Below are 21,014 nucleotides of genomic sequence, written 5' to 3' on the forward strand. Positions count from 1 at the left end.
GAGAGAGAGAAAGAAAGAGATTGATTTTGAGGAATTGGCTCATGTGATTACAAGACTGCCAAGTCCAAAATGTGCAGGGTGGGCTGACAGGCTGGAGACTCAGGGAAGAACTGCTGCTGCAGATGAAGGCTGAAGGCCATCTGCTGGCAGAATTCTCTCTTGCTCAGGAGAGGTCAGTTTTTTGTTCTATTCAGACCTTCAACTGATTGGATGAGGCCCACCTACATAATGGAGGGCAACCTGCTTTACTCAAAGCCCCCTTATTTAAATGCTAATCTCATCCAAAAAATACCCTCACAGAAACATCCAGAGTAATGTTTGACCAAATATCTGAGAACCGTGTCTCAGCCAAGTTGACATATAAAATTAACTATCATATCTCCACGATAAACTACCTGCACCAAAATATTGTCTTGGGCTCTGCTTCCAGGACACCCAAAGAGATGATACATGAAAAAAGAAAAGGATACAAATGTGTATATATAGTAAAGAAACTATGTATGGAAATATGCCAAAATGTTAACAGAGTTCTTTCTGGAAGAGGGAATTATGGGTGATTCTCCCCCTTGACTTCTTTGTTTCTGCTTTTCTGTTTTTGTCTAAATAGTCTCCATCAGCATGCTTGGATAATCAGAAACAGTGATGTATACAGCAGAACAATAAAGGGTTAAATGAGTTAAAAGCAAATTGCTCTTGGAGATAAGAGGGGGAAGTGAGTCATTATCCTTGAGGTAATTCAAGAGGACTTATTCATGGAGGAGGGGGCATTTGATTTGCCACATAGAAGAATGGATGGGGGCAGACAGCTGGGGAGGACATTCCAAATTGCAGAAACAATGTGACAAAAATCACAAAAGTCAAAAAGTAGAGGACACATTCAACAAGGATGGAGTCATCCAGTGTGACCAGCCTATAGGGCTTGTGAAGGACATAGGTGAGTCACCACATTTACTGGGAGGTCCCAAAGGGGTCTTCTGTATTTGGTGGGCCCCAGAATAAAAAGGTAAAGGATGTGTTAGTTACTTCTGCAGACTGGGAGGCTTCAGTGCACAAAAGAACATGGAAGGTTAGTCCTAGTCTGAGGTAGGTCCTTCCTGTACCTTCCTACACTTCCTTCTTCCTTTCTTCCTTCCTCTTCTGAGAGTGTAGCTTCCCTCTGGGGGAGTAGGAAAAACAGCTTGATTGTTTTCCTCATCTGCTCCCCTCCACTACAATCAAATACACATTTCCCCTCCTCCTTCCACCACCACATTCTTTTTCCCACTAAGATATGTTGTCACTAGCACACATAAGACTTACCTCTCCAGCAGTGTACAGTTGTACAGTTCTCTCTCTCTCTCTCTCTCTCTCTCTCTCTCTCTCTATCTGTGTGTGTCTCTGTCTCTGTCTCTGTCTGTTTCTCTCCACCATGTGTGTGTCTCAGTGCTCTGGAGATGATCCAGATGCTGGTACCAGAGTGAGTGTAAAGATGTGAATGGGAGTCAGAATAGACTAAAAGCATCCAAGGCGTCTAACAGGCCAGCAACAAAGTAGAAAGAGTCGGGACTCTGGAACCAAAATGAAAGGAAAGGTAGCAGTGTCATTGCCCTTGTAAGAAAGTGAGAAGTCTCTTTAGTAGAGGCTTTTGTAAGTGGATCTCTAATGGTGCATTAAAAAGAGAGGTTCCTGTGCAGCTGGGCTAGTTCCTGTGCCTTGCAAAAGGCTGCCTCATTCTGCACTAAAATAGAAAACAAACTCCAAAGCAAGTCACTCAACCTAAGCTGGCTTTGCAAGGAATAAAGCACAGCTTCCTCTTTGGGGAGACATGAGTAGTGGGTCAGAGCCTGGGCTAGAAGCCAAAGTTCTTAAATTCAGTTCGGAAGGTTATCTGTCACTTCCAAGTTTTGGCTAGCTCTGAGCCACCTCTGTCACTTCCGAGTTTTGGCTAGCTCTGAGCCACCTCTGTCACTTCCAAGTTTTGGCTAGCTCTGAGCCACCTGAAAGCTGGTAGAGACAGGTGAGCAGCAAAGGAGTGTGTGGGGACCGTGAGAATGCACCTCACAGATGTCCAACTGCAGGAGGAGGCCTTGACCTGGGGCCCCAGCGAGTGTGCTCTGAAATCCATCTCTGTGTTTGCACGGGTCCATGCTTCCCACGGACTGTTTATGGCCAGTGACTGAGCTGGCAGGGGTACTAAATTAGGTCATTCCTGGGAGACAGGGGCCTCCTCTGGTGATTGACTCTTGTTGAGGACTTCCTGATGGCCTTGCCAAGCCTTTCTTATACTGCACGGTGGTCTAGACACTTTAATACAACCTTCCTTCTCTCTCTTTCACTCAGGGTCAGCCTTGCACTGTGGTGTGGTGGTTCTTCAGACTTCCTGGGCTACCTCCTCATTTTTCTCACAGGAATTTCTTATAAAGAAAATCCTGGCTCAGCGCGGTGGCTCACACCTGTAATCCCAAAACTTTGGGAGGCCGAGGCGGGCGGATCACAAGTTCAGGAGATCAAGACTATCGTGGCCAACATGGTGAAACCCTATCTCTACTAAAATACAAAAAAAAAAAAATTAGCCGGGCGTGGTGGTGCGCTCCTGTAGTCCTAGCTACTCGGGAGGCTGAGGCAGGAGAATCACTTGAACCCAGGAGGCGGAGGTTGCAGTGAGCCGAGATCACGCCACTGCACTCCAGATGGTGACAGACCAAGACTCCATCTCAAAAAAAAAAGAAAAGAAAAGAAAAGAAAAGAAAAGAAAATCCTTGGATAATAATCCCATCTTGGCCTCTGCTCGTGGAAGGGCATAACGCAGTGTAAGGACTTCATGTGGTGACATTCCCATTAGCTAGGCTGAGAGAGAGGACCAGACCGTAGCCCTCCACAGCCCCAGCTGGTCTGTCTGAGATGAACTTCCAGGAGGAACAATTAAGTGATAAATAAGAACCATGGTGCAGCCTGAACCTTCAGGTGCTCACGTGTTCCCCAGCCCAGGGTGATTACCAATGCCAAATGCCACTCCCATCCTACCCAAGATGTATGCAGTGGGGCTCAGTAAACTCCTTTCCCTCTCTCTCTATCTCCTACCACTAACCATCCCCTTCCTTCTGCCTTCTTCCCCGAGTAACCTCAGCTCCCCTACCAAGGGCCCCAAGGACAGCCGCATGACTCAGGGACTATGCAAGAGCCTCCTTTCCATCACCAGCACCTCTACCATCCACACCTGCAGCATCAAAACCTCCGCTTCCACCATCACCACCCTCATCTCCACCACTACCATCATTACTATCTCCCCATCCATCATCACCATCACTTCCATCACCTCCACCCCAACCTTCACTACCTTCCACCATCATTACTTCTACCAACATCATCTCTTCTGCCTCCACCTCCACTTCCACCCCACCCTATAATTTCCTCTACCACTTTCTGTAAGACTCCAGAAAATGCTCTGAGCATTATATTGTGCCACAACTGGCCATGTGATGGTATGGTGGAGCCATGACTTCAATTCCTGCATCTACCTACTGCTCACAGGCTGTGTGACCCAGAAGAGATCTGTCTGGCTGTAAGCATCAGCTTCCCAATTTATTAATTGGGAGGTGTGTTAGTCCCTTTGCATACTATTTTATTCTTTATAAAAATTTATGAAGAAATTACCCAGTCTCAGGTATTCTGGGGGTATTCAGGTATTCTGGGAAGCTTTTATCCACCCTCCACAGGATTTTTTTTATTTTCTCAGTAGACTATTTCTCCTTCTCTCCCTCAATTTTAAGATCAACAACTAAATCAGGTTCAGGGCCATCAACATAATTAATGCCATTTTTGGTGGGCTCTGAGGTTTGGAGTGTTGTCACTCCTGACTAGCCCTTCACTGTGAGCAGGATTCTGGTCCAGAAGCCAAGTTGAGGCTGTCAGTGGCTGTGGCATTAGGTGAGGCCCCTTGGAGGGGGTGGCCCTAACCGCAGCCTCCGTCCTAAGCAGACGCCCTCCAGAAGCTTGGAGGCTTCCCAAGCCGGAAGCCCCCATCCACCTTCCAGGGCAGCCTTGGAGCTGGCTCTTCCAATGGGCTCCAGGAAAACCTGCTTCCGCAGCTTGCAACTGAAGTGCTCATCTTGGGGATCCAAGCGGGGCTTCTTGTTTCTAGCTGTTGTCAGTTGGATGACGTGGGGGACAGGCTCCTCTTGTCTCTCAATTTCTAGCTCCTAGGCCCCTGAGCAGCACAGATATGGCCAGTCACCTGATTCCAGGGGAGCTGAGAAGTGGGGCTTTCACCACAGCCAGTCCTGCTCCTCCTTCCTGTGCCCCGTTAGTAGTATGACTAAGTGACAATTACCTAACTCTCCCATTTGAAGTTGGGATAGAAAATGTTGTGGCTGAAGTATTTCTATTTCTCACTTTCCAAGCTCGCCAGGGCATCCGCATGTAAGAGCTCTCACTCTATTTCTGGCTGGGTGCTTCGTGAATGAAACAGGATATTCTGCCAACTTCAGAGCACACCTTTTATCATGCACTGCGAGATCGGCTGACTTGCCTATCCTCTCCCCAATCCCCCCAGTCAGCAATATACCAGCTCCCAGCGGGTGGAGAGCAGGAAGTCACTGAGCTAGCCGACTTGTATGGGGCTCCTAAATTCCCCTGAAGCAAGGGCAGAGAACACACTTCCTTCGATGACAAGAGACCTGAATGCTGATAATGGGAGTTTCCTGCCTGCTTGGCTTCTAGCTTTCTCTCATTCTCCTTGGGCATTGAGCAGGGAGCAGAGATCTGGGCTTTTGCATGGTACCCCAACCCCTGGCTGGCTCTTCTCCCTTCTCCTTGCTAGCCAAGAGTGCCAATTCAGAGCCTCTTCTTCCTTATAACAGATGCAATGCTTCTAAAGCCTAGTATAGCTCTGTCACGAATGAGTTGTGTGGTCTTTGGACAAAACATTTCACCTCTCTTGCCTCCATTTGCTCATCTGTGAAAGGGAAGAAATACCTACCTCACTGGATTTTGTAGAATAACAGTGAGACTCCATTGGGCACATGGACCTCAATCCACACCTTTTGTCTTCAAATTGAAATGCTTCATAATGCCTATTTAAGTCTACTATAGACCGTATGCTGTACTCAGGCTGTCTTGAGAGCTGAGACATGAGCAGCTGCATTGGAAGATATTTATTATGAGATGACATCATATTCTTGCATGCAAAGGTCAGCCCATGGTTGGGATTCCTGCCTTTGTTGTTTTCTACCTTGGGAGTTTCAGGGTCATTACCCACATCCATCTGGGTTTGCCAAGCTTGGGCTGTAGCTAAATTTCTTTGCCAAACACACGTTCCCTCAGCTTGGGAAACAAGTTGATTGGAAGGCAGATTTCATCTCTGTGTGTTTGCCTTATTTACACTAAAACCCTCGAAGTTGGACCTCATGGTGAAATCATTTCGGGAATTGCTAGAGAAGTCCTCATCCTTTCCTAGCCATCAGCCCCTCTTTGCAAAGGGCCCAGCACCAAAGATCGGCAATGCCACTGTCCATGCCAACCCTGGCCAAGTGGAACAGACTGAAGGTACATAGGGGCAGGACCAGGCCTGGCTCTTCCCCCAGGAGCTAGCATGGAGGCTCCCACATCCTTCCCATGGGACCGTTTGAATCCCCTTCATTGGCTAGAGGAAAGTCTCAGTCTCTCTCTGGGAAAACTGTGCTCTGTCATGAGGAGAGAAATTGCCCTGATGAGTGAGCTGCATTTTTCTTGGCTATAAGCTAAAGGGTGCAGGTGCTGCCAAGCACTAGGGTAGGTATGGGTGAGAACAGAAAAGAAAACTAGTTGTTTCTTGTAATGAGGTAAATACAACTACAAGACCTCAGCACAGAATGCATTAGCAGCTTTTTTTAAGGGGTGTTGCTGTGAGAAGGTTTGAATGATTCCAGTTCTTGAGTCCACCAAAGGCAGGCCTGGGTCTGATGGCCTTTGCCTTCTCACCCCTCCTCTGCTTCATGCCACACATCACTTGCTGCCCTGCAAAGAGACCTCCAGGCTCTCATGGACTTCAGAAGCCCATCCTGGGGGTCTAGAGAAAAATCAACAGGGGTTCACAGATAAAGGTTTTCTGAGGTCAAAGCAGCTGGGAAAACCCTGCAGATTCCACTGTTGCCTTGGAGAATCCCAATGCACATGGCAAAGAAAAGGCCCTGAGAAGTCCTGCAGTTTAACTTTGTTGAATTTAGCATTTATCAAGTGAGTTTCAACTGGAAAATTTTGCTGTGACACCCCTGTTAACAAAGTGTCAGTGGTATGTGATGTGGGAAACAGGGCTGGACAGTATGTGTAGGGATTCCAGAAAGGGCATAGAGCTAGGAGTCAACACACCTCGATTCCAATCCTAGCCCCGTCACTGACTCACTAGGCGACTTTGAGCAAATCCCAATCCCGTCTGGGCTTCTGTTGCACCTCATGGCTCTGAGAGTCTGTGCTAAGAGGAAAAAGCGGAGAAAGTCAACTGTGGGGCATGCATAGGAGTCCAGAGTACCTGGTCCCAGGCCTGACTGTCACTTTCTTGTTCTGTGATAGGTGAGCTCTTTGCCCTCTCAAGGCCTCGGATTCCTCTCGGAGAAATGAGGAGTTGAGCTAGATGGGCTCTACTCTGTGGTTCCTCTGGTCCCGCTGGGATATCATGCATTGGAAGGGACCTGTGCTGGCCTGGTGCCTTAGGACCCTGGTTCAGGGCACTGGTTTGAGACAAGCTCCACTCCACATCCACTTACAGAAAGGAGCTGTGGCTCTTTCTCTCCATAACTTTTTTTTTTTTTTTTGAGATGGAGTCTTGCTCTGTTGCCCAGGCTGGAGTGAAGTGGCCCAATCTTGGCTCACCACAGCCTCCGCCTCCCAGGTTCAAGTGATTCTCCTGCCTCAGCCTCCCGAGTAGCTGGGACTATAGGCGTGTGCCACTGTGCCCAGCTAATTTTTGTATTTTTAGTAGAAACGGGGTTTCACTATGTTGGCCAGGCTGGTATTGAACTCCTGACCTCATGATCCGCCTGCCTCAGCCTCCCACAGTGCTGGGATTACAGGCATGAGCCACCATGCCCAGCCTTCTCCCCATAACTTTCTAAGGGACTAGATCGAAGGAGAGCCCTCTCTTGGTTCTCATTGATTCCATGGAGGGACAGGGCCCAAGGTAGAGTTTCCTGCGTGGGCTACAACCCCATTTTTAGGGGTTGGATTATGTCCTCCCAAAATTCCTATGTTGAAGTCCTAAGCCCCAGTACCTCAGAATGTGACTTTATTTGGAAATAGGGTCATTGTAGATGTAATCAGTTCAGATGAGGTCATACAGGAATAGGGCGGGTCCATAATCCAATGTGACTGGTGTCCTCATATAAAGGGGAAATTTGGAAACCAGCACCACAGGGAAAATGCTGTGTGAAAACAAAGGCAGAGGTCTGAATGATGCTCCTACAAGACAAGAAACCTGAAAGAGGGCCAGCAAACCCCCAGAAGCTAGGGGAGAGACATGGAACAGACTCTCCCTCATAGCCCTTAGGAGGAATCAACCCAGCTGACACACCTTGACCTCAGACTTGCAGCCTCCAGAACTAGGAGGCAGTACACTTCTGTTGTTGAAGCCATTCAGTTTGTGGCATTTTGTTATGGCAGCCACAGCAAACTCATATGGCCATGTCCTTGTCCCCACCTCTGACGTGGTCCTGCCACCCATGCTTGGTAGATGGTATGAGGACTGTATGCAGGCCATGCTTCCTATACCTTCAGGCCACGAAAGCTTGACCAAGAGGTTTTCAATCGATTAAGTGGCAGCTAGCCTGGCCAGCCAGAAGCTGACCTGCTCTGCTTTAGACAGTGCAGGATGAAAACCCTAAAAAAATGCTCAACATTTTGACCCATTAATTCTATCTCTGGGATTCTGTCCTGAGAAATTTGCCTAGATACAGAAAAGCTTCATACCAAGAAAGGTCCACATCAGTTTAAAATAGAGAAAAAGCAAGAGCCAACTATGTTTCCAACAGGTGGGACTGCTTAAAACAATGATGCTTCACCCATTTGATTAGAAGAGTATTGCCTTAGCTCGCATTCTCCCCAAAAGTAGAGTCTGAGACAAGTTTCTTTTGGGAAATGGTCCCAGGGAATAGGAGGGAAGGACGGGAAAAAACGAAAGAGGAAAAGAGGAAAAGCCAATCTAAGGTGTATTACTGAGTTGCTCACTGCTGTGGGCAAGTAAAGCTCAGATCCACTGGGAATTCTCTGAGGATCCAATGGAATGCACCTTGGATTGTTTGCCCAAGACATGGAAGAAAAGAGTATTTATCTTTTCATCAAAGTTTGCCTCAGTGAATATTGACTCTCATGTTTCCAGGTTTGTACATGTGGCAAGAATGATTTAGCAGACTGCCACAGTAAAATGACTCTGGGGAAGAAAGTAGGGGCACACTGATGCAGCTGAGGGTATGAGGATAAAAGCTGGTGACACAGATATGCAGCCATTATGAAGAAGACCTGACTGTGTGGAACACACTTATGATATGTTAAGGAAGAGAACACGGTACACCCTTGAAAGTTTGGTGGGATCACATATGTACATAATAACCTAAAACGTGTGCAAAGAAAACAGACAGGAAGGAAATATGATGAAGAGTTAACAGTTTATTTATCTCTAAGTAGTGAGATCATTTGTGGTTCTCTTTCCTTTTCATTTCCTTCTTTGCATGTATCTGTATTTCCTGGTTTCTTTAACAAACAGGTATTACTTTTAAAATGAAAAAGAGTTAATGAAGTAGTTTTCACACTTGAGTGGGCACGGAATCACGTGGAGTGGTTGTAAAAACACAGTTGATGGACAGAAGCCTGGCTTCATGAGTGTGCACCCCATGCAGTCACACAGGGCCCTTGCTCAGATGGGCCCCATGCTTGGTTTGATGCTTTGCTGTCACCATCTTGAAATGCTTAATAATTTTTGAACAACAGACTGCATTTTCATTTTGCTGTGAGCCCCACAAGTTATGGTAGTCAGTCTTGGCTGGGCCCTATACCCAGAATCTCTGCTTCAATAATCTGGAGGCAGGGCCTGAGAATTTGAATTTCTAAGATGCTCTAGGTGATACTAATACTACTGGTTTGTGAACCGTACTTTGAGAACCATGGTATAAGAATAATAAAAAAGATTGCACTGACTAAACAGCTCCCAGGTGCATTTAAGAATGTATTTATAGACCATTAAGTACTTTGGAGTAGAGAAAATGTATTGAAGATCAATCAGAAATGAAAATATGGTGGCTCCCAAATGAGAATGCAAGTCAATGAGAAATCCCAAAGTGTGGTTCAGTGATAATAGGTCCCTCAGAGGATGGCAACCTGGCACTGGTCTTGACACACCCACTTTGGGCTTCCATCTCTGGTCAGCTCCTTTCCAACTGAGCAACACTGGGCAAGCTGCCCTCAGTCTGTCATCACTTGTGAAATGGGATAACAAGACCTGCCTCACAGAGTTTTGGGTGACAGTTGAGGGCCTTGAAGTCCTAACTCATGATTCCTTGGGACACATGGCTCCTTGGGGAGCCCCAGCTCCCCCATCTCTTCTCCACTAGACCTTGAGTTCTCGCTGAGAGCAGGGACCCCCGCTCTGACCTTCTGGGGTCTGCTGGAGGGCAAGGTTGTTGAGAGGCTCCAGAGGATAAAGCTAGGACCCTGGATGGGAGGTAGTGGTGGTAAAACTACTTCCTACAACACCAGGACTCTCCTGCAGTTAGAATCCCCCAGGAAGGCCCCAGCTGCCCTGGGAGTGCCTGTGGGCTTCCCAATGAGCCAGAGCTTGGAAAAGGGGACCACACCCATCTTCTTGAGTTAGTGTTCTGAAAGGTGCTAGAATTACACCTGTGGCATTGCCCAAAAGGAGGTCCTGGCAGCAAGAAGAAAGGACAGGGTACAGATGTGGAAGCATCTGTCTCCCAACCCACCCCTGGCCTTCTCCTCCCAGATGCAAGTTGGGTGAGATGGAAGCACATGCCTCCCTCTCCTGCTGTGGCTGGTTTCCCTGTGGGGGTATCATGCGAAGGCAAAGATGACGTGGCCATCCATGTGAACTGAGGTGCCTCTCAGCCACTGCCCTTGTCACAGGCTGGCAATTGTCAGTGCTAATCTGAGTAGCTGGGAAATAAGACTTGTGTTAACACTTTGTGTTATTCAAACAGGTCTTTCAGGGGCCAGTGAAGAAATTCACTTTGCCACACTTGCTGCCATGCCAGCAGGCTAATTGTGTGTTGCTTGTGCCTGCTATTGAATCAGGTCTCTTTGGCTGTTCGACTCATAAATCAGGGCCAACAATCCCAGCCAACAGGGAGAGCCAGCTGCTGCTAAGCAAGAGCTGCAGGCCCCACCTTAATCTGACATTGACCCAGTTAGGTGACCTTGGGCGAAAGCCCTATCCTTTTCTGAGTCTTAGTGTCCAGGTCTGCTGGGGCCTTGGGACACAGATGTTGCAAACTCCCTGGGTTTCAAGGAATATGATGGGACAGAGAGGCTGTTTAGCCACAGCAGTTCCATGTGTTCTGTGAGCTCACTGCCCCAGAGGCATTCTGGCCAAAATTTGGGGATCAATGCCCAGGCAGGGGTGCTAGAAAAAGCATCACTGCTGGAGCTGCAGGCCACTGGAAGATGCTGACACCCAGGCTGGCCCAGGGGAGTCAGTGATGGAAGTCAGTGATGGAAGGTGAGTCAGTGATGGAAGGTGAGTCCAGCCTGATCTAGAATAGCACCTTCCTTCCCCAGCACTGAATGGCTGCAGAGGAATCTGCCCTCCAATCTGGGAAATTCCATCCCTTCAGCAGCAGTTGGGGAGCACACAGCCCAGAGTCCAGCAGGCCTGAAGCCAGTCCTTGTGCTATCACATCTCCTCTGGGTGAACATAGGCATAATCCTCGTCTGTAAAATAGGCATTATAGTAAGAGCTTTCCAAAACCATGGAGACTGTTCTATGAATCAAGGGAGACAATCAGTGGCAACCCCAGAGCACAATGCCTGGCATACAGTAAGAGCTTAAGAGCCAATTCCTTTCTGGATCGGTTTCCTAGGGCTGCTGTAACAAATTACCTCCAACTTGGTGGCTTAAAACAACACACATTTATGCTCTTACTGCTCTGGATATCAGAAGTCTGAAATGGGTCACACTGGGCTAAAATCAGGGCACCAGCAGGCTGTGTTCCTTCTGAAGGCTCTAAGGGAGAATCTGTTTCCTCGCCTTTTCCAGCTTCTAGAGGCCACCTGTGTTCCTTGGCTTGTGGCCTTTCCTCAAATCACTCCACTCTCTTGCTTCCATCCTCACATCTCCTGCTACTGACACTGACCCTACTGTGCCCCTCTCATGATTACATTAGGACTCATCCGGATAATCCAGGATGATCTCGCCATGTCAAGAGTCTTGATTTAATTCTACCTGCAGAGTCCCCTTTGCCTTGGAAGGTAACATACTCCCAGGCTCTGGGGTGTGGGGAGAGGCATTGTTCTACCAACCACATCTTCTCTCCTCTCTCTAGGGTTCCTATTCCTGATCAGGCCAGTTTGGAGCAAACTCAGGGGGCTCAGAGCCAGAAGAGCCCTTAGAGGCCACCTATTGTGTTTGGCTCTGTCTATTCCAGCTCCCTGGCTAGACTGTCAGCCCCTGAATGCAAGGACACAAACTAGTCTTGTTCACTGCTTAATGCTCACCTCCATACCACCTCAGCACAGAGAATGGACAGAGTCAGCACTTGGTACATCTGTGCCAATTTCATGTTGTGGAATGAACTTGAAGACACTAAATAGATGCCTCCTGACCCTCAAAATTCACTATCCCCCACCCCGTTTAAAAAGAGTAGCAACTGGTTTATCTGTTTCTTTTTAAAAAGTTATCAGGATGGCGAAACTGGCCCAGAGAGAGGAATGGACTTGCCCAAAGCCACAGGAACTAGCATGCATCCCAGGCTTCCACCATCCTAGAGCAAGTTGTGCTTCCCATTGACACTCATTTTGTAAATGAGACCTGTGTGGTTCAGGAGGTTGTACAGCTGACAGGCAGCAGAACCTGGGTGTACACCAGGGCTTTTTGCCTCCTAGATCAAGAGAACCTGAGTTCTCTGACCACAGCATGCTAGAGGCCACAACCAACAGGAACACAGGAATGAGGACAGACAAGTGCCCTTGGGGAGGCTCAGGCTGGCGACTACCCCATGCAGAGGAAGTGCACGGAACTTGATCTGGGAGAAAGAAGGCTGCCTGCTGGCTACCACCCTGAGTCTGCCCTGACCCCAGCCCCTCTCACAGGCTCTGAGGCCCCAGCACATCATTACTCTCCCTGGGCTGCTCACAGCCTGTCATCCCCACCTTAGCATGGGCCCTGGTGACATGCAGGTGGCAGTGGCTCAGCACTGCCAAAGGGGCACAGCAAGGGTTGCCACCTGCAGTTCACTCACACACAAATACACATGTGTGTGCACACACTCGCACGTGTACATTCACACGCGTACACATGCACACACACACACTCATATGTACCTCCCCTCCCCCACCCCACACACGGGCAGATTCAAGGCTGCCTACCCTCCCTTTTCCCCAGGATTGCAGTAGCTGCCTCCTCTGCCCCCATATTGTGCCCCTTTGCCGGCACTCCCGGGCTCGTGGCAGTGGGGGTGGGGAAGCACAAGCAGAAATGAAAGTACAGATTTTGATCCATCCTCATCAGGAACGGCTGTCCCATCTAGGAGTCCCCGGACAGGATTTTCCATGCCTTTCTGAAAGGGCCACTCAGAGTCTCAGCCTGTGCAGTGAATAGGACACTAAGCATCTGTTCTAGACTTTGCTTCCGTTCATGGAGTGGAGGCTTTTGACTGTTTGCCAGGAGCAGAGAGGCCTGGGGTGCTGTGGAAAGTGGGGCTCAATGTTCATATGCTGTGTGCATTCATTTGTGGGCATGTGCATTTATGTGTGAGTGTGCCCCTGGGCATGCTTCTGGCTTTGGGCACGTCTGTGTGTTGACAAATGAATATGTGTGTGTGTGTGTGTGTGTGTGTGTGTGTGTGTATGCCTGTCTGTTGGTATGTGTGCATGTGTGTACATACGCATATGTGTGTGCATGTGTGTATGTGTCTCCATGTGTGTCTGCACATTGCCTGTCTCAGTCGGCTTGGCTGCTATAACAACGTACCATAGACTGGGTGGCTGAAACAACACATTTATTCCTCACAATTCTGGAAGCTGGGAAGTCCAAGATCAAGGTGCCAGCAGATTCAGTTCCTGGTGAGAGGTCTCGTTCTGTCTTGCAGACAGCTGCCTTTTCACTGTGTCCTCACACGGCAGAAGGAGACAGTGAGCTCTAGTCTCGCTTCCTTTTCTTATAAGGACACTATTCCATTGTGGGTCCCCATCCTCATGGCCTTACCTAACTTTAATTATCTCCCAAGGGCCCCACCTCCAAATACAATCACATTGGGGTCAGGGCTTTAACATGAATTTTGAGGTGGACACATTTAGTTCATGGCAGTGCCCGTGTGTGTGTGCGCGCGTGTGTGTGTCAAACAATCAGCAGCTCTACCATGCTGCTGCCACCATCGTCCCCTCTGGATTTCCTGAATGAGGTTATCTTCTGCCTTCTCCAGATCTAAGCACTTGGATCTCTGGACTTGGCCAGTCTCCATCACAACCCTGCAATCACCTCTCTCAGTGTGGGTATCAGCATTGAGAACATGAACAAGGCCAGACGTCCCTGGCTACCTTCACAGCCAGGGCAGCACCATGACCTCAGAGCCTGATCCCAGAGCCCACTCGAAGCTTCCATATGCTTCCATCGTTCTCTCTGCTTCTCCCCCGGAAGATCCCTATTACTCCTTTAAAGCCCAGTTCCAACACCTACTCCCCAGGAAGCCTGGCAGCTTGCACCCCAGGAGGCTTAGTCACTCACTCCCTTGCCTGGGCTCCCACAGTGTCTTGCATGCAGCACTTTTACAGCTCTTGCCAGGTGGTACTTTAGGTACGCCTGTCTCCACAGCTACCAAGTGAGAACCCGGCGCTGGTTCATTCTGTTGTACCCAGCACCTGTTTGTCGAGTGACTGAAAGAGTGCCTACTATTGTCTCATGAAGATTCAAGGGCAGTGCCCAGGGGGAACATCTGGCTAGGTCTTTTCACTGGTGACGAATTTCTGACAAGATTGCACCATAGGAGGCAAGGACAGTCAGGAAACATCGTGCTGCAGTTTCTCTCTCCATCAAGGTCAGTTCCCATCTTCCTCCACCCCTGGCAAGCAGCACAGGTCACAGAGGAGGTGCAAAGCTCTGTGTCCTCCCAAACAGAGCCCCTCCCCACCATAGCCAGGAGGCCTGCTTCTCTTGACACTGGGAAGCCTCCATAAGCATTGGAGTGATCACAGACCCAAAGACTGGCTGCCCCTTCTCCAGACCGATAGGGACACCAAAGCCTAGAGGGACAGCATCTAACCAGGGTCTCTCAGCAGAGCAGTCACAGAGCTGGGTTCAGCCATTCCCCTGTGTGGCATAAGACGCCCCACCCTGTCCCAGGGAAGTAGAGGCTCCAGGCTCTTCCTTTCCTGCAGACATGTGAGCAGCAGATGGAAGCCAAGTCCAAGACCCTGAGAAGCACCATGGCAGCTCAGGGCACTGCAGCCTGCCAAGGAGATGAGGCTAAGGAGCCGAGCTGGCTATAGCCCCTGATTTCTCTGAATGGAATTGAAAAGAATGAGGCTATGGCTGTCACTCCCACCTCTATGTGCCATGCTGCCAGCACTGGGAAGTAACATCTCTGCTCATCACCAGCCTCGTGTCCTATGAACTTGGGGAGCCTTCAAAGTGCCCACTTAAATAAACGCAGGCACTTCCAAATCCCCACTGCTGAAAAAGGGCAAAACCTCAGATGGTCCCAACTGAACTCATGGCACAAGAGCCAGGCCAAGACAGAGCATGACCAGGAATGGCAGGCCAGGGGCAGGGAGGAGGAATCTTTGGAGGTTTTATTACTTTTTGCTTTGTGATGACTGGCTTGGAGCCCACACAGTTCTTGAATACATAATAGGGAATTGGGTGAGCCTGCAGAAATAAATTTTATTAGCACACAATCACTGCAGCCCCAGACAGGGCCTTCTTTCAACAGGTCCGGTCAATTAGCAGAATAATGCAAGGGCTGGTTTTCGTTTTAAAAGGTTTAATTAAAGTTTGGGTACAATGAACATGCAAGCCACCAATCTGTCTTTCAAGGCATGTATTATCTGGAAATTGATTGTAACTTATGCTTCTTTCTAGAAGTGTAATTCCTTAGAAGACATGGAAGGCACCCCTCTCCACCTCTCCCCACCCCACCCCCACGAACACTTCTCCCTATCTCCCCAGCTCCTCTCCCACCCGACCCAAACTGCCCTATCCCTCTGCCTTAATATAGTCAACAATGCCAAGGTTTCACGTGTGGTTCAGTGGGGACCAGTGTTCCTCTGGGGAGGAAACCCAGCCCCCAGGTCTACTGTGTGTGGGCAGGAGCTGGGAGCCCAAGGTACCTCTTCCCTCCCTCACAGAGCTGGAGGCCAACACGTCAGCTTTATTTGCCCTGAAAGAACAGAGAACACCAAGTCTCAAGTCAGCCACTGCTGCCGAGAGCAACAGGTTTGAGTGGGAGGGTGTGCAGGGCTGGCAAAGGACAGCCTTTTTGCAGAGACAGGCCTCCCTCATACAGGCCCCATTTGTCAGGACAGGCCTGGACAGGGTGCTGCTCCCTCTCTAGCTGGGTGGGCAGCTCCTTCGGCTGGACCACCCTTTAAGAGATGCCAACTGTTTGTCACTTTTCTGCCTGGCACAGTGCTGGGCATTGGACAGGATGGGGGTCTAGTGAGGGCCTCCCCTTTGGGGATCTTAGAGCATAGCCGGGAGGCAGCATGAGCCAGTTTGGGGGTTATGAGGTCAGTCAAGCCTGAACTGGAATACTGGCTCCTGGGGCCACCCCTGCTGGGCACTGCGTGGCGTTGGGCCACCGTTTCCTCATCTGTACAATGGCTAGACAGAGAGAACCTGCCTCCTCCACACTCACAGCTTCTGATCATCACCCGCATCACAACTCTGGTTGTCCTGTGAGGACCTCCCTGGACCAGCACTGTCTGCAGTGGGGCAGGCTGCTCTGCAGGGCTGGGGGAAGCACCCAGTCACTGGAGCTGTGGGGACAGGGGTGTCCCAAGGCTGGGCCTGCCCTGTCTCATCCCCTCCACCAGTGTGGTCTCCCGTGCCCAGGCAGCAGGCGGCAAGAGCTGATGCAGGGTGACTCCGGGGGCCCTGGCACGCCTCGAGCCTTAAGCCGGTCAGTCTCTGGGAGCCTGTGGGAAAGACAGGCAGGGCCTCTCGGGTCAGGCAGGCCCCCAGCACAAAGTGCTGACAGGTGGGGAGATCCAGGCCCACAGGAGGCAGGGCTGTGCCCGAGGTCCCTTGCAAGTCAAGGCCCCGGGGCGGGGGCGGTCCCTGAGTCCTCAGCTGGGGCTCTCAGCAGGGCCTCCCCAGGTGCCCTGGGCTCTGGAGGACCCAGTAGCCCCGTCCAAGATCCTCAGAAGGAACCAGTATAATGCTGGGGTCAGAGTGGGAAAATGTCCCACCTGGTTTGGGTGACTCTGAGTCCTTCTGCAAATTCACCTGGTGAAGGTGGCATCTGCCCCATGGGTGCACACTGTCCCCGGGAGCACAAGACACATCTCAGAAACAGCGGCCTCGGCCCCAGTGGTGGCTGATGGGGCTTTCCCAGTGGATGCTCAGGGGAACCATGGACCTCCTTCCCTCCTTCCCCCTCTCTCCCCCTCCCTCCATCCCCCCTCCCTCTCTTTCCCTTTCTTTCCATCCCTCTCTCCCTCCTTCTCTCCCTCCCTCTTTCCGTCTGTTTCTCCCTCCCTTCCTCCTTCCCAGGCTGTCAGGGAGATGCAGGGATGGGGCCTGGGCTCTGAGTTCCTTTGGGACTCCTGCCTGAATGTCTATCTGTCTCCCATAGCCCTTCGAAGGAGTGGCCTCCTGCCCACAAGCTGGAGGGCTCTGCCATTTGCAGGCTGGTGCCTTTCTCAGCTGCTCCTCTTGCGGGGCCACTCTCTAAAGAGAACAGGTGAGAGATCAGTCACAAACCCATAGGCACGTCCCTGGCCTGGCTAAGACATACAAGGGACTGATATGACCCTGGGCTCTGGGGGCAGAACCCTGCCCTGCCACAGCACAGATGTGGGTGGTTCTGTGTCCCCAGCACAGTGGGGATGCACTGCAGAGACACAGCATGCAGTCCAGGCTGTCCCCTCCCCGCCGCCGAGCTCGCCATTGCCGTCAGGTGCCATGGAGGGCCATCATTGTCATCACTGCCATAGAGGGCCAAGAGGAGCGGGAGCCACTGGGGAGGCAGAGGTCTGCTGGGGCTGAGGGTGGGCCTTGGAGAGTGACACCTCCACAAGACTAGAATGGAGCCAGAGAATGAGGACACATCAGCAGAGTCTGACCTGTCAGGGTCCCCCCAGTCCCCACTAAGGGCAAGTGGCTAGAGGTCCTCAGAAAAGTCCCCCAGGGAAGCCCAGAAGCCCCCAGCATAGAGCTCCAGGGATTGAGAAGAGTTTGGTGAAACCAGAAACTACCATGTGGCCCTGGTGACCCTGGTGCCAGAGGAGGGAGTGGGGTTGGGGGAGGGGACTGCCACTCCCTGGGGCTCCAAGCGCCACGTGTCCCTCAGCTCCAGAGCTGGGGCTGAGGATACAGTTTCACAGAGTCCACCCCTTCTTCCCTAGACCCCAAAATAAGAAAGTGGAATCTGAGAGCCTAAAGAATTCCTAGGATTCCTCCCCTGCCAAATTTAGCCCTGGAATGGTCCGGACAATTCATGGTGGAGCTGCTGAGATTTTCTGGGTAATGACAATTGGTCATCACTTCCTGTAGGGACTGGTCTCCTGGTCGGAAATCACTGGTTTGTCACAGCTAAGTTAGGCCTCAGTGCCAGGGTCTAAGAACTGCCTGTTAGCCCCACTCTAAGGGGGAAAGAGGCTGATGGGTCTAGTCACGGGGCTGGAGTCAGGGCTTCCTGCCCCTGGTGGAGCTCCTGAAAGAATGGAGTCCACGTAGCAGCTAAGGGAGCCAGTGCTCTAGTGTGAAAGAGCTGTCCAGAGTTATAGATTCTTTCGTCAATTCCAAGGAATATGGCTCAGCTGCTGTGAGCTAAGGCACAGGTATGGACAACTCAACACAGGGCAGAGAGACTTGAGAACATGGCTGGGAGCTAGGTGGCCTCAGGCATGTGGGTTCCATTCTCAGCCTCCAAGTTTGCTATTGTAAAGTGAGACTGCCCACTGAACATCCCACACAATGCACGAGTGGGGATTACTTGAGACAATCGGGCAAATGCTTAGCAGAGCTGGATGGAGGCAAGGCTGACTCTTGAAGGGCCTTGACTACCGTACAGAAATGCCTAAGGAGAATGTAAAGCAAGGACAAAGCAAGAAAAGAGGACATAGGTGTGGCATATCACCTTTGACCTCTACAGGCATAGCAGCGCTGGCCTTCACACCTGGAGTACCGTCCAGTGAATCCCTCAATACACAACTCCCTAACTCAAGGCCGGAAGGCCACCCAGCCCCCAGGCAGCCTTGTTCTTGCTCTTTTCTGACCCTCTTTGTTGCATTCTGGACTCCCTTATGCTAGGAACAGTCAATGTCAGGTCCCTCTCCCTTCAAAACCCTGTGAAATCAAGTGATATTGGGTAAGTCACATTTCTACCCATTCTAAGCATCAGTTTTCTTACCTATAAAATGCAGGCTTATTGCACACAGGAGGGGTCCAAAGTTGATTGGTTCCCTCTACATCCTAAACACAGTTATACCCACAGCTTTCCTCTTCAAGGCAGGTAATTCCCTCCCCAGCCCCAGCTTACAGCACTCCACCTTCAGGTCCCTTTAACCTGGCCTCACCCCAGGTGTCAGGAGTCTCAGGGTGGAGCCCGACTTTGCCAGCTAGAGTGGGAGGCTAAGGAAGGTTGATAAGCTGTTGTAGTTATCCATGGCTTGGCCTTCTCTCAAGATTGCCAAGAGCTTCAGTTTTGTCCCCTGGTTTGGCAACAGGAAGTCAGCACAGGATCTTATCATTGGCCAAGCTCATTGAATGAATGACAGTGAATGACAGTGCAATTGGCAGCAGCTGGGGGTAGGTGGAAAAATAAGGGGAGGGCAGTGAAGAGAGGTGGAGAAAGCCCTGAGCTGGGAGGTAGGACACCTGAGATCAAACAACCCCACCCCACTTAGTCTTGAGCATGGCACTCTTCACTGCCTTTTTGGGCTACAGTAGAGTCTCAAAGTCTTTGAAATATGTACCTCTCTTGGAATTCTTTGTTCCTTGTCTCACTTCCCTGTAAAATGGCAAATATCAGAAGGGCAGCAATAAGCTTGATCTCAGTCACTGTTCCACCTCCAATGCCAAATACACACAATCAGCATTTGATAAATATGCAGCAAACAAGAGAATCAACAGATGAATACATGAAAGGAAGGAACAGGAACATGTTTGGTAATTTGCAAAGAACTGTGCACACCCAAGGGAGCCCTCTTATGGAAGCATAGTGGACCAAAGGCAGGATCAAGAAGTCAGGCTCCTAGGCTCTTCTTCTTGAGACAGCCAAGCAGAGACAGCCTACTCAGAGTGCCTTGGCCAGGCCAGCTCTTACTTCTAAACTTAGTGTTGGTCAGTGCTGTCTTCAGGGGAGTTACCTGCATTCCCTGTGATCAGCGTTCAGGTCCAAGAGTGAGCCACAGTGGGGCCCAGAAGGAAGGAGAGGCTGAAGCCTGTCGCACCCCCGTCTACAGTTGTATGCTTTGAGGACAAGCTGCCACTATGGATCTAGGGCTCCAAGGTCAACACACATTTGTACTGCTTCCTGGAATCTTGGCATTTTTCTTTTAGAATAATGGGAGGGTGTGTGTTAAATGTGAGGAGGAGGCAGGAGAAGAATGCTGCCGTTCAGTCCCTCCCCAGATGGGCCAAGACAGCATGCCTGTCCTTGCTCAGCTGTTTGAGCTGACCTGTGCCTGGGGTAAGATAACAGACAGCAAGTAAGGAAGAGAGGGAGAGAGAGAGGGAGACAGAAAAACTGAAAGAAGGAAGGAAGGAAGGAGGAACGAAGGGAGGGAACGAAGGAGGGAAGAAGGGAGAGAGGAAGGGAATCTTTTTTTTTTTTTTGAGACGGACTCTCTCTGTCTCCCAGGCTGGAGTGCAGTGGCGCGATCTTGGCTCACTGCAAGCTCTGCCTCCCAGGTTCATGCCATTCTCCTGCCTCAGCCTCCCAAGTAGCTGGGACTACAGGCGCCTGCCACCACACGCGGCTAATTTTTTGTATTTTTAGTAGAGACAGGGTTTCACCGTGTTAACCAGGATGGTCTCGATCTCCTGACCTCGTGATCCGCCCGCCTTGGCCTCCCAAAGTGCTGGGATTGCAGGCGTGAGCCACCACGCCCAGCCGAGGAAGGGAATCTTAGAGACTGCATCTTCTAAATGTCTTAATTCCCCCCAAGATTTGTCTCAAGATCACCATCTCTTGCCTTTAGAATGCTGTGTTCTACTAGAAGTTTTTCGTGTTTGTTTGTTTGTTTTACACAAGTGTGAAAACAAGCAATGCCTAACTATTAGCTGTCAGTAACTGACTCCCAACACCCAATTCCAGAAAAAGAGTCCCCAGCCAAGCCCTCTGGAATGTCTTTCTTGGTGCCCTAGAAAAAGGAGGGCTGTACCTTCGAACTCTGCTGTTTTAAGACCAGTTTTAAGATGAAGAGCACCCTAAAGATCATTCTATTCTTTCCCTCTCATCATAAAGATGGGAACACTGAGGCTAGAGAGGGGGGCAGGGCAGGCCTCTCCTGAGATTTCCATGTCAGGTCCAACCAAAAGGACTGCCATATCATCAGCCCCCATTTCAGCTTCATCTGAGCTCAGACCCCCATCAGAATACAGGGCCTGCAGTATAGCCCTACGGCCAGCATGGAAGGCACTTCTGGACATTTCACAGAAGCATGCCCATATGGGAATT

Source organism: Homo sapiens, chromosome X, assembly GCF_000001405.40.
Source record: "Homo sapiens chromosome X, GRCh38.p14 Primary Assembly".
Classification (NCBI taxonomy): Eukaryota; Metazoa; Chordata; class Mammalia; order Primates; family Hominidae; genus Homo; species Homo sapiens.